The sequence below is a fragment of the Homo sapiens genome, chromosome 17, assembly GCF_000001405.40.
Source record: "Homo sapiens chromosome 17, GRCh38.p14 Primary Assembly".
Taxonomy (NCBI): domain Eukaryota; kingdom Metazoa; phylum Chordata; class Mammalia; order Primates; family Hominidae; genus Homo; species Homo sapiens.
The window spans coordinates 65,957,631-65,972,981 of NC_000017.11; the positions used below are offsets into that span (position 1 = coordinate 65,957,631).

General features: G+C 37.0%; 1 protein-coding gene across 22 annotated transcripts in view; it reads right to left on the bottom strand.

Annotated features, from left to right (window-relative positions):
- CEP112 (centrosomal protein 112) overlaps positions 1 to 15,351 on the bottom strand; it is a 556,597-nt gene that overhangs the window by 322,094 nt on the left and 219,152 nt on the right. For all 22 annotated transcript variants that reach the window (XR_007065281.1, XR_007065280.1, XR_007065282.1 and 19 more), the window contains one exon: positions 3,833 to 3,968. Coding sequence is in view for 19 of the 22 variants with exons in the window: in NM_001353128.2 (NP_001340057.1) it covers positions 3,833 to 3,968 (136 nt within the window). In the remaining 3 variants the exon portion in view is untranslated. The remainder of the gene's footprint in view (positions 1 to 3,832; positions 3,969 to 15,351) is intronic.

Consider the following 15,351-nt stretch of genomic DNA (forward strand, 5'->3'; position numbering starts at 1 on the left):
CTAATCAATACCATTTTACTAGAAAAATTTAACCTATTAATGTTTATTATTACAATTATATACTCTATCTTATTTTGGACATTTTGTTGTATTTCTGCTTCTGTTCCTTTGGCAGCCTCTCCTCTCAAGCTTTGCTTTTTAACTTTTCAAGACTTTTATGAGAATGTACAACTTGTTAATTTTATTAATGCTCATATTTAAACATTACAAAATTATTTTTACCTACATTTCCCTAATTTTAAGAATCTTATGAGTCTCACATATTTATGACAAAGAGTTTTAGTATATTTTGCTTCTCCAACTCTTGCTATTCATCTACTTTTGATCCTTGTTAATGTAATCTAGGGATACAAATTCAAGTTGTTAATACATTTGTATTTTCTGTTTTATATACCTTCCTTTTCAAAAAATCAATTAATATTAGAATTCTATTCTTAAGTAGATTTGTAACAATTATTTAAATTTGTTTCTACTTCTTTGGGGTTCCAGGTTTCTCTACTCATCCTTTCATATGATGGTTTCCTTATGTGTGGGAAGTCTTATGCTTCATTTCTGGATTGGTTCATGTATTCATACAAATTTTTTCCAGAAAAATGTGGTATATATTATATGAGCTCTTATATATAAGAACATGCTTTCCTATTGTTTTTGTAAGCAAAAAACTCCTTGGTTGTGTATAAAATGGAATCACCACTTTTTTTTACTGCATGCATATTACATACATGTATATTACACGCATTACATTATATGTAACATGAATGGTGCAGTTTCAGCCTACCATACCATAGCTGTGGATCCAGGCATTTCTGTACTCCTGGGGGTTGGGGAAGGTCCCTGCTGCCCTAGCTGGCTCAGAAGTGCTTGCTCCTGCTGTCTGGTTTCTCCTTGCTGTCCGTGCCCACTCCAATGTTGGAGCAAAGTTAGGGCTGAGCCTGGGTGCTGTCGCATGCCAGCCCCCTGCTGCCTCAGCCACCTCTGGACTTTGGCTGCCAATGAGCATAGGAGGGAAGCCAAGTGGGTGCTGATGGCAGCTCAATGCTGGCCTGCAGGCAACCCTTGACACCTACAGCCTGGGCACCATGAACAGCAGCAGGGGGCAGACAGACTCCTGCTCATAAGGGGATGGGTCCCTAGTGAGGCCTCACCTTCAGGCCAGGGAGGGCCTGAAGGCTGGGAGGCCTGGCTGCAAGTCCCACAGACTGGAGTGGGAACTCGTGGTGCCTTTTCTGGGCCTCCCCATGGCCACCCATGGACCAATCAGTGTGCACTTCCTCCCCTCTGAGGCACATAAAAGCCCCAGGCTCAGCCAGAGAAGAGCAGATGTGGGGACAACCAGCTGCAGAGGGGAGCTACCAACTCCAGGGCCTCCTCTCTCCTAAGAGCTGCAGATGTCAGGACAACCAGCTGCAGAGAGGAGCAACTCATCCCAGGGCCTACTCTCTGCTGAGGGCTGCAGAGACATCGGGACCACCAGCTGCAGATAGGAGCAACCCACTCCATGGCCTCCTCTCTACTGAGAGCTGGGGAGATGAGAGGAGGACCTGCCTACAGAGAGGAGTAACCCACTCTAGGGCCTCCTCTCTGCTGAGAGCTGCAGAGATGATGGGACTACCTGTCTGCAGAGACGGGTTTACCACTCCAGGGTCTCCTCTCTGCTAGGAGCTGAACACTCACTGGGACACCCTGGCTGCAGAAAGGAGCTACCCACTATGTGTCTCTGAGCTGTTCTATTGCTCAATGAAGCTCCTCTTTGTCTTGCTTACCCTCCACTTGTCTGCATACCTCATTTTTCCTAGTCGCAGGACAAGAACTCAGGACCTGTCGAATGGCAGGGCTAAAAGAGCTGCAACAAAAACAGGGCTGAAACATGCTCCTTGCTCGCCTTGTTGAAGGCAAAGAGAAGGAGAGAAGAGCTACAGCCCCAGACCTGGGCGCTCCCGAGCCAGGGCTATGACTTCCTCTTTGGGTTCGTGTGGTTCTTGGCTCCTCCTTGGGTTCCTGTGGTTCCTGGCATCTCCAAGCTTCCAGGTGCCACCACATTCCCCAGTGACAGTTGTGGAAGCTGCTTGCAGTATACCTGGTCCAGCCACAGCCTCACAGAGAGCTGACACCCATGCTGGCACCTGGAGCTGCCCACCCACTGCAGCAGGTGGCATACCTGACTGCACAGCGGCCAGACCCCATGCTTGCTCACATACCCCTTGCTGCTCCATGCCTAACTCACCCTTGGCAGGTGTTGGATACAGGCAGTAGCCTGAGCCAAGAGCAGCGTATCAGGCTGAGTGGGTGGAATGAGCCCAGTGGGCCTTAGCAAAACTCAGGCAAAGGTGCCACTAGCCACAGAGGTTTCTGGCCAAAAAAGTGACACCCTAGGGATCCCGTAACACAGGGCTCAATCCTCAGTCAGATTCAAACATGAAACCTTCCTTAGGCACATTTCTCCCACCCAGTGTGTGCTTGGGACTCCTAAGGAAGATAACTATAGTGTAAAATAATAAGTGAGTATTGAAACATTCTTTATAATCAGGAAAAACTGAAAAAAACTAAATATGCTTGAGTAGGGGAGCTGATAAAATATACTATATTCATATGATAAAATAAATTTAGTGTTAAAAAGATTGTACTAAAACAGCATGGTTAGCACACAGATACATAATATTAGATATAAAAGGGCAAACAGAAATAGTACTTAAAATCTGTTCATATTTATATAATTTTTAAAAAAACAAAAAAACATTTATGCCTGTAACATATTAATGCATAAATAATATATACATACATATTATCTATGGGCATTATGTATGCATATAAAATAAACTGAAATAATGCAGCCATCTCCAGTATCCATGGGTGATTGGTTCCAGAACCCCCTCCAGATACCAAAATCCACAGACAGTCAAGTTCCTCATATAAAATGGTCTAGTACTTCCATACAACCTGGGCACATCCTCCTGTGTACTTTATCATTGCTAGATTACTTCTAATACCTAATACAACATCTACATGTCACTTCTATCACATGGATTCAACACAGTCCTCTGCACATGGCAAATTCAAGTTTTACTTTTTGGAGCATTGTCAAATTTTTCCAAATATTTTCGATCCATGGTTGGTTGAATCTGTGGAGGCAGAACCCACAGATACAAAAACACATGGATACAGAGGGCTGACTGTATACACTCAATTAATTATAATGGATTTCTCCAGGGAAGAAAGAATAATGTGATTAGACATGAAAACAAAGTAAACTAAAACTTCACCTGAATTTTTTAGTTTATATAAACCACGTTAACAATTATTGCATCTTTGCGATGGGTACCCAGGTGTTTGTAATAATTCCCTTTATTCTTTTACAAATTTTGTATTTTCTTTAAAAACTAAAAAAAAAAAAACTACCCATCTTATATAAGAATTGGAGACAGCCTTTGTTCTTCACAACTGCCAGTTGAAAATAATTTGCTGTAGCTGATCAATAAGACACTATTTATAGAACATGAAGAAACACAGACATGGTTAACTGGAGCCCCTGCTCTAAAGAAACTGATCAGTCATGGGATTTTTCTCTTAGGATTATCTATCCTTCCAAAGCAAGGTACATGCTTGCCATTACTACATTTATACAGGGGACTTTTAAATGATCATTCTGGCATTGCTTGAAGGATGAATCAAGTGGTAACATCTCTTTCTCATTCTGAATCTCTGACCCGATTGTATGGCTAATTTTGATACAGCTCTTTTAAAAAGTGAAATGTTTCTGTCATATTTAAGATGAGAATGTACCTTCCTACTGAGAGAGTGACTTTCAAAAGGGATGGTGTGGCAGCCTCCTTACCTGCTCTTTCATTTCAGCATAGACTTTCTCTGAGTTCAGTTCCACCTGCCGCTTAAACTCTTCCAGAGCGGCATCTGCCTGCTGGGCCTGCAACCTCTGAACTTCAGTCACACGAGTTAGCTGCTCCTCTTTTTCCCTAGAAAGGTTCAGAGAAGCTTCAGAGTTAAAATATAAAAGAGCTAGGCCTGAATGAAAGAACAATATTTAACCCCCTCTAAAATAAAATCCAGATTTTAATTTTTTTGATCCAAATCCTACAAAACTTCCCTTTAGAAATTTGACAATAAACTAATTTGTCTCAAGAGAAAAAGGGTATAAACATATATTGTGTATTCTGATGAAGGCAAAACTGCTTTCAAAGATTTCTCTAAAAACAAAACTGAGTAAAACCATGTGTCTCCATCAAGTGATGAATGAATAAACAAAATGTGGAATAGCTATCCAATGGGATATTAGTCATTCTTAAAAAGGAATGAAGTTCTGATACCTGCTACAACATGGATGAACCTTAAAAACATTCAGCTAAGTGAAAGAAGCCAGTCACAAAAAGTTACATATTGTATGATTCCATTTATATGAAATTTCCAGAATAGGTAAATCCATGGAGACAGAAAGTACCTTAGTAGTTGCTAGGGTCTGAGAGGCTGGGGAAATAGGGAGTGATTGCCAAGGGATATGAAATGAGGAAAATATGAAAATGTTCTGGAATTAGATAGTGGTGATGGTTGCACATCCTTGTGAATATACTAATATCCACCAAACTATACACTTCAAAGGAGTGAATTTTATGGTATGTGAATTATATCTCATGTTTTTTTTTTAAAACAATGTACAAATAGAAAGATGTATGTCTACCAGAAGTTAATCTGCAGTGAAGTCAATGCAACAGAGAAACATGATGGCCTAAAATTATTTTACTGCCTTCTAGCAGATTGCCTAAAAGAACTGATAACCATCTCATTTCTTCATACCTTAGGCGGAAACTATATAGCTGAAAGGGTCCAACAAAACAAAAGGAATCTTTGCATGTTGATAGAAGAAAAAATTAAAGCCTTCAGTTTATAAATGCATGCCATTTAACAATAGTTAACTTTGAATTCTAACTAGGCGCTGGGTATTGTGCAATGGAATTTTATATGGTTTGGCTCTGTGTCCCCACCCACATCTAATCTTGTAGCTCCCATAATTCCCACGTGTTGTGGGAGGGACCCAGTGGGAGATAACTGAATCATGGGGGCAGGTCTTTCCCATGCTGTTCTCATGATAGTGAGTCTAATGAGATCTGATGGTTTTAACAAGAGGAGTTCCCCTGCACAAGCTCTCTTTTTGCCTGCCGCCATCCATGTAAGATGTGACTTGCTCCTCCTTGCCTTCCGCCATGATTGTGAGGCCTCCCCAGCCACGTGGAACTGTAAGTCCATTAAACCTCTTTTGAAAATTGCCAAGTCTCCAGTATGTCTTTATCAGCAGTGTGAAAATGGACTAATACAGAAGTTTATGTCTTCTCTCATTTATTCTCACAGTAAACCAGTATAAGAGTGTTATTACATCCTTACTTACACAGAACAGGAAACTAGGGCTTAGAGAATACTTCCAAGGTTACACACCTAGAGTAACAACAGGTCAAGCCAGGATTCCAGTCCTGAAAGTGTGCTTCTAGAGTTCCTGTTGTTGGCTGCTATGCCACACTGCTTTCCTGATCTTCCAGATGCCACAGGTAAGATTAACTTAGCTCACCTTCCCTAAATGGGAAAGCTTACACAAGTGAAAAATATGTTCTTACTATTAGCTGTAACACTGAAGGATGCTGGGCGGGGGTGGGTAATTTAACTCACTCAAACCAAATTTTAGAGAAATATCATAAAGGGGAGAAAAGACATTTCTAAAACAAGATGATGCAATCTTTTAAGACTTGGGCAAAAAGTAATACGAGTTTTTCCAGGTTACTCATCTGAGTTTAAAATCCACTCTAAGACACAAAAATTTCTAGGCTTTTCAATAAGAACGTACATATCATATATCAAAATACCAAACTTTCTCCCTCTCCCCCACCAAATTGAAAACCTCTTTCAAAGCTTAAGTGGTCAAAAGACTGATAAGAAAAAAAGTGTCACCTAATTTCTACTTCAGCAAGACTCTCTTGTCCCTTTACAATGAGGTTATCAACAATATAGATATATAGATATCGATATAGATATAGATATAGATAGGGGTGTGTGTGTGTGTGTGTGTGTGTGTGTGTTCTCTCCTCGCACCCATATCCCATCCCCACCCCTGTATTTGGGATCCGCAAACAGGCACATTTTTGTTGACAGGCTGAAAGAGCATATCGTGCATGTTTATTTGTCATTTTAAACACCACCTTGTGTCTATTTATCTTTTCATATCCCATGTATCCATCTACCTGAAGGTGACAATAATCATTGCAATCCCATGATAAACAAAACAGTTTTTCCACTAAATCCCTGTTCCTTTATGTGTCTGTTTTACAGATGTAGCCACCATTTTTATGACCTACAGAGTTTAATACTGCCCCAAGGTGTGTGATGCCCTGCATGACAGTTAAGCCATTCCAGGTCATGAGGCATGCCACATGTGGCTCTCAGTAACTGCATTTTGCAGCAATGGGGTACAGGATTCTGGAAGTTTTTAAAAGCTATTCTTCAACTTGTCTACTTTAATGAACTGGGACCTGGGTATCTTGTTGTTCACCATGTTTCTTACATGTTGTTAAAGCAAAATGGTCTTAATGTTAACTGGCTGTTAAGTTCTAAGGTCCTAACATTAGTGAGGCTTTTTTGCCACCTAATGTGAATATTAGCTCAAAGATAATGGTGATTAATAACTGAATATCATACTGAAGGCTGATTTTGGGGGCACCACTATATGAAAGACTGAGCACTCTGATGGCTATAAAGAATTTTAAATTGTTCTGGTGCATTTTCACTCTTTCTATATTATTCTGTTCAAGAACAGGAGGCTTTAAGTTGTATGTAGGATTTCCCTGCTACAAACATTGAATAATTTGTTTGAATATAAAAATATCTAAATACTAAAACAGCACATGGGAACAACATAAAGTCATATAAATTGTTATTGGGTACCATGGTCTAGACCTGGCTTGGCAAATAGATGCTCTCTGGTGTGGTGGTCCCAATTGACTGGAAGGGGCTGCCTGGAATGTACTATTTAAAGGATTCTGAGAGCAAGCTCAGAGGGAAAGGGTGCTGTGGTTGATGAAAGGGTGCTGTGGCACTGTTTACAAGGCACTGGGGTTAGGCAGTGCAATGACCGTTTAGAGATTATAGTGACTAGTTTATGTTCCTCTTTAATTTTTGAGGCCCTTCTAAAAGCACTTGGGAAGACCATTTTATAATTAAGATTAACATTTATCAAAGGATTACCTTTGGTCAGTTTGTATATAAATACAAAAGAAAGTATATTGAACATGATTTGAAAACTTTAAAAGTTTATATATCACTTACTTTTTAATTATGGAACATTAAATAGCCAAAAGAAAGATAACACATTTTATAAAAATATATGACCTATAGCTGAAATAGCAACTTTGTCCTATCTATGTTGAAAGTCAGTTTTTTATATTATTTGTGCAATAATTCACATGAACTATTTAAACACTTTTCATTTAATAGGATGAATCTTTTTCCCTATAACATGTCATTCTTACCTACTAAGCTTAGTTCATTTACTTTATAACTAATTTATGACCACATAAATCAAAGTCATAAACTTTAGCTATCCGTCAGATAATTAGAGGCCATTTTAAAATATGAAAACCTTGCACAATAAGGCACATTGTTTTCAATTGATCATTTCTACCCTGATTTACAAATAGCAAATATTGTTTTATACTCAATTATAAGCACAGGGAAATATGTAAAATCTGGTTTCCAGTCCCGCCATACTGTCTGAACTAATCTAATAGTAACACTAAATATCAAAAGTGGCCTCATTCAATGTAATTCAATGTTCTTGTCCAGTAAAACCATAATGAATACATTGAGCTCCACTAATATTTAGAAACCTTCTGCCCCCTTTTTTTTTTTTTTTTTTCTTTGAGACAGGGTATTGCTCTGTCGCCCAGGCTGGAGTGCAGTGGCACAATCAGGGCTCACTGCAGCCTTGAACTCCTGGACTCAGGTGATCCTCCCACCTCAGCCTCTGGGTAGCTGGGAATATAGGTGCAAGCCACCACCCCTGGCTAATTTTTTTCTTTTTTGTAGAAATGGGGTTTTGTCAAGTTGCCCAGGCTGGTCTCAAACTCCTGGACTCAAGCGATCCACCCCGGTCTCCTAAAGAGCTGGGATTACAGGCATAAGCCGCTGCACCTGGCCCCTCTGTCTTAATATAAATTAAATCTGTCAATTCAAATAAAGAGGTGATAATCATTTTAGGGAAAGATCCATTTTAATTTCTACATGGTAATGAAGCAGAAATGAAAATGCTGAAGCTTTGAAACAGGCAAAGGTCTGCTCCTAGCACAGGAACAGCGCTCCTTTTTACCATGATCCCAATAGTGCATCCTGAAAGAAGGAGGAAAAAAGGACTGAAGATTTTTTTTTTCCCAGTGGAACTAGTTGTGGGGCCAAGTAGAAACGCATCACTCAAATGCCTTAAAGCTGGGCCTCCATGAAGATAAAAAGGTGGAAAGAAAATTTGCTTTTTAGCTCTGATTTATTCATAAAGTGCAGTAAATTTTCCTCATCTGAGTATATAAAGGATAAAGAAAAAAGAAGCTGCATTGTTAAACAACCACAAGCCAGCTCAGATTAAAGGATGTTCTGAAGTACATGATTATTCCAAAAAGGGCAATAAAATGTAGGGAACTAATGGATGACAGTTTAGTATTTTTGAGCTTTACAAGCTAACATGTATATGTACAGGTGAACCTTAATTTGAAAATCTTCCTTTTGCACATTTCTGTTCCAGTACATTTGATAAAGATGGCTGCAACCCAACATGTATGTATAAGGCTTCACATTACAGTATACTTCATTTCCTGCCAGCTTGGCATCTCCCCTGGAAACTCCAAGAAAAACAACACAAAACAAGAAACTTCAAACAAGTCTGAAAAACAGCTAGAAGAGTCCCCATGCCCTTTCCAGCTGGGCTGGAAAACAAGACTCACAAGCGGCAATATCACCTATATTCATGGCTGCTGGTTGTTACTTAAACTGATTAAATTGAATGACTCAAAAATATTTAAAATAACAACTTTCATAAGCATGACAGATGAATAAACTGCTTTGGCCTCTTCTTCACTTGACTTCTAAAACTAGTAGTCTCTGCTAAATTCTAGTTTAAAAATGGTAAACCCTGTAGACAGCTAAACATTTGATACTTCAACAGTCAGAAAGAAATGCCCAGTAAAATGAAAATTAGTATTGGTCTTAATATTGAATATATGGTAATACTTCCCAAATTGATCTACAGATTCAACATAATCAATGCATGCAGGGCCACAAGCCAAGGAACTGGGGCAGTGTCTAGAAGATGGAAAAGGCAAGGAATGGATTATTCTCATAAGCTCAATGAAACTATGATGATCCAAAACACTAAATCAGAAATTATTCTCTCGCTACTAAGGGAAAAGCTTGAAACAGGTACGATAATAGCATAAAGAAGTTCTACAGAACTCTATTCTGACAAAGACCTTTTATTGTCAACAATGTAGGCTTACCCAGAGAGCTTGCCCACAGGGTCAAACACCAGTCTTAAAAAACCATGCCTGTTGGTTGAAGCATGTTAGTTATAAATAGGAATGAAGAATCTTCTTAAACAATTCAAAAACCTCTTAAGAAGATATGGATGTCAGCTAGGACGTCTATAAATCTATGACGCCAACTGGATTTGAATCATAATTCAAAAGAACTAGTTCTGGCATCAACTTTGTAGCCTTTATTCTCAGTAAGTTAGTTTTGTTCTGGGAGCAGAAACAAGGGTGCTGGCAGCAAATTCTAAGATCTGCTCATTCAAATACTATAGAAAACATAAAAGAAGTGTAAAACATGGTTCCTATCTTGCAAAAACTATAATCTGACTAAGGGAAAAGATGAAAATATAAGGAGAAAAATAAAATGATGCAATATCGTACACATTAAATCTTGTGACAAATTTTAAGTGCTAAAAGAATACAAAGAACGTAACAATGAAGTAAGAGGCTATATAAGAAACAATTCTCAGAGGATCAAATTTATGTGTAAGATAGGAAATAAAGGTATATAAGTAAAATTAATGAAAGTTTTAAACAGTTTAAAGTTTATGTAATAATTTTATGCTAAACTAACTTCTGCCTGTAATATGGGTCCATAAATAAAACAAACTCTAGCTCAGCAAATACAAAAGCAAGTAATACTTCTATGGTAAACTAACAAAATATTGAGAAAATTATCCTTAAAGATAAAGCAGTCATGGTTTATGGTGAAGAAAAATTCCTTTAAAATCTTTAAATTCTTTAAACTTCAAAATAAATCCCACATATGATGCTATTTTCGTTTATGTCCCTATATTTAACAAATGATTAAAACTTCCATTTATAAATTGTACACCATATATGCAGAGTTTACATACAAACTCACTAATGTATTTCATTACAGATGTAGTATTATATCAGTATATAATAAGGAAATTACGTTATTCTTGTAAAATGACAAAACCTAAATATTCTGGAATAGGTGAGGACCACTTCTTGTTATTAGGAGAGGAAGAAAGACAGTATGAAGTCACTCAAGCAGAATGATAAGTAAACCAAAGCCAGATCAAAGGAATAAAGAAAAAAGGCTGAAATGTGAATCTGAAATATTTATTTCCTTCAAAAACATTATCCATGCCTTGTCCCAGGGCAGTTCAATATTTCAAAGTAACTGGAAAATATTCTCACTTACATTCATCACTATGCACAAATAGATCAAATTTCAAGCAGGCAAATTTTCTATTTATCAAATATAAATGTAATATTTATCATGTGACAGAAGCTTTTCTGCTCATTATAGATGATTTCTAAGTGATATGAAATGAAAAGTCGCAATAGATATGTCCCACTACTTTTAGAGAATTGTATTGCTACAAAATATAACATTTATAGTGTAGCCATAATTTTTAAATCTTTGGAAATGATGAAGCAGAGTGAACATTTGAATGTCTACCCTGCTCATCACAGTTAGGGCAGTTCACATATTATTTGACGTTATTTCTATTAGAAAAGTTACTACATTTTTTAGATGAAAACACTGAAACTTAGAATAGTTAAGTGATTTGCTCAAGTTCACATAAAAGTGCCAGAACAAGCGATGAAAACAACCCATCTGACTGGAAGTCCAAAATAGTTTCGCTACATGTAACATTATTTCTTTAAATCTGTACATACATTTTTTATTAACTTACCATTTCATATTAATTAGCTGAATTTATAATAAGTACTTATCGTAATTTATCCTTACATAGCAATATTTGTATATCAAATATCTAGAGTATTTGAAAGCTAAAATGTTCATTAGCATTTACTTAACATCTATCACATGCCAAGATCTGTGCTCAGTATTAGAACTGCAAAAATGATTAAGACATTATATCAGTTTTTTGTTTTTTTGTGTGTGTGGATTTTTTTTTTTTTTTTTGAGACAATGTCTTGATCTGTCACCCCAGCTAGAGTGCAGTGGTGCGATCTCGGCTAACTACAACCTCTGCCTCCTGGGTTCAAGTGATTCTCTTGCCTCAGCCTCCCAAGTAGCTGGGATTACAGGCATGCAGTACCACGCCTGACTAGTTTTTTTTGTATTTTTAGTAAACATGGGGTTTTGCCATGTTGGCCAGGCTGATCTAGGAAAACATTGTAAAGGACTTCTCATTTTGTTAAGATCATTATGAAAAATATTTAAGATTAACGTATTACATGTACATTGCATAATACATACCACATGCATATCACATACAAGCATATTACATGTACATTACATGCATACACATCACACATGTATCACATGCATGTGTAATGCATGCATATTACACACAGGTATACTGTATTTGCATTACTTGCATGTATATTGCATGTATGTTACTTAAATGAATATTGTGTGCATGTATATTACACACAAGTATACACATATATTGCATGCACGAATATTACATGTGTGCCGCATGCACTGCACACATATTGCAAGCATATATGACATGTATAACACTGCATATTGCATGCATGTGTATTGTATGCATATTACACGCATACAGGAATATCACATAAATGTGTATTGCATGCATACACTACACGAATGCTTATTACATGTAAATCACATAGATGCATATTACATGCATGCGCATCACATGTATATTACCTGCATACATATTACAAGCATATCATCTATATATAGCATGCATGCAAATTACATGTGCATTATGTGTAAATTACATGCATGCTTAACACATGCATATTACATGCATATCACATGCGCTACAGGCATGCATATCACAGGTATATTAAATGTATGTATAACATGCATATCACACGCATGTTACACACATATCACATGTGTATTGCGAACATGCACGCCACATGCATATTGCATGCATGCCACATCACATGTGTATTGCAAACATGCATGCCACCTGCATATTACATGTATGCATAGCACATGCATATCGCATGTATATTGCATTTATGTATTTTGCATGTGTATAGCAAACATGCATATTACATTTGTATTACATGCATATATGCTGCATGCATGTCATGCATGCATATACCATGCATATATGCATGTATATTACATGCATGTTGCACACATATTACATGCATGTATGTAGCATGGATGTCATACTGCATGTGTATCTCATATGTAAAACATATTGCATGCATATTACATGCATGTGCACTATGTGCCTATATTACATGCACACATCATGCATATATATTACATGCATGCACACATCATGCATGTATATTACATGCATGCACACATCATGCATGTATATTACATGCATGCACACATGCATGTATATTACATGCATGCACACTACATGCATATTATATGCATGCATATTAAATACATGTATAACACATGAATATTACATGAAAGTTACCTACATCTTACATGCAAATTGCGTGCATTTTATATATTACCTGTATATTGCAGGCATATGGAATGGAAGCATATTACATGCATGCACGCATGTATATTACATACATGCATATTACACGCATATCACACACATGCATATTACATGCATACACATGACATGTGCCTTTATCACATGCATGTGTTAATACATGCACATTACAGGTATGTTACATGTTACATGCATGCATAAAATGTATATTGCACATGTGTATGGCGCATGTATATTGCATGCATGCACATTACATGCATATGTCATGTATATCTGCATGCTGCATCGCATTACATGCATATCACATCTGTGTGCATTGCATGTATGTTGCATGTATGCAGTTATTGCACCCATATTATATTACATACCTATTACATGTTGGCCAGGCTGATTTTAAAAAACTTTGTAAAGGGCTTCTTATTTTGGAAGATAATTATTGGAAATTTTTAAGAGGCTTGTATTACATGTCTATTACATACATGCATGTCACATGTCTTACATGTATATTACATGGTACATTGCATGTTCCTTGCGTGTATGAGATTTATATTGCATGTGCACATGATACATGTACATTACATGTACAGCACATGTACAGCACATGCATATCACATTGCACGTATGTATATCACATGTATATTACATACGTGCAAAACATGCACATCAAATGCGTACTGCACACATGTACAGCACATGCACATAACAAATATGCACGTTACATGTGTTTTACAAGTCTTAAAAATATATTACATGTATATGTATTTCAGGAACACATGTATATCGCATGTATGTACATTGCATGTATATAGCATGTATATTGCACCCATGCAGCATGCTGCATGCATGTTACATGGATGCCGCATGCATGCATATCACACACATGTATCATGCATGTATGACATGAATGTCATACATATCACACATGCACATTACATGTGTATCACCTAAATGTATGTTGCATGTATGTTACATGTGTGTTGTATGTATATGGCATGTATATTACATGCATGCATATTGTGTGCATATTATATGTATATCCCATGCATATTGCGTTATATTGCATGCATGTCACATGCATGTATGTTACATGCATATTACATGCGTGTATATTACATGCATATTACATGCATGCATAAATATATTGCAGGTATATTGCTCTAACAACACTAATCAAAAGAAAGCTGGAGTCGTGATATTAATACCAGACAAAGCCTATTCCAGGGCAAAGAATTTTGCCAACACTAAAGAAAGTAAATTTACAGTACTTAAAGAGCCATATCAACAGGAAACAAATGCTGAAAATAAAAGAAGCAAAGACTTATTGAAATGCAGGGGTGAATAAACACATGCACAATTACATTTCGAGATTTCAATATCCCTCTCTATCAATAATTGATAGGACAAGTAGACAGACAAGAATAAAGAGCTAGGATAACTAGGATTTGAAGAACACTATCAAGCAGCTAGGCCTAATGGACACTTATGGACTATTCCACCCAATCAAAGAAGAATACACATTCATTTCAAGAGTACATGGAACATTATCAACATAGACTATTCTGGAACATAAAACAAGTCTCCATAAATTTAAAAGGATTCACATCATGCAATGCATATTTTGTGATCATTGTGAAATTAAAAATCAATAAAAGAAAGATATCTGGGAAATCCCCAAATATTTGGAAACTAAATAATGTTTTTCTACACAGCCCATGGACCAAAGAAAAAATAAAATGAGAAATTAGAAAGCATTTTGGATTAATGAAACTGAAAACAAATATCAAAATTAGAGAGATGCTGCTAACAATGTACTTGAAGGAAACTTTATAGAATTAAACATTTGTATTAGAAAATAATATACAGGTTTCAAAACAATGGCATTAGCTTTCACTTTAAAGAACAGTAAAACACAAAATAAGTAGAAGAAAGGAAATAATAAAAATCAAAACAGAGATCAATAAAATGGGAACAGAAGAACATTAGGCAAAAATCAGTGAATCCCAAAGCTGGTTCTTTGAGAAGATCAATAAAATTGATAAACCTCTAGCTAGGCTGGTCAGAAAAAAAGAAACAATACAAATTATCAATATTACAAATGAGAGTGGTTATGTCACTACAGATTTTATATGTGTTAAAAGGACAAGAAACCAGTATCATAAAAGAAGAGAAAAAATAATTTTTGTTTTGTTTTTTGTTTTTTGAGACGGAGTCTCACTCTTGCCCAGGCTGGAGCACAGTGGTGTGATCTCAGCTCACTGCAACCTCCACCTCCTTGGTTCAAGTGATTCTCATGCCTCAGCCTCCCGAGTAGCTGGGATTACAGGCACCTGCCACCACACCCAGCTAATTTTTGTATTTTTAGTAGAGACGGGGTTTCACCATGTTGGCCAGGCTGA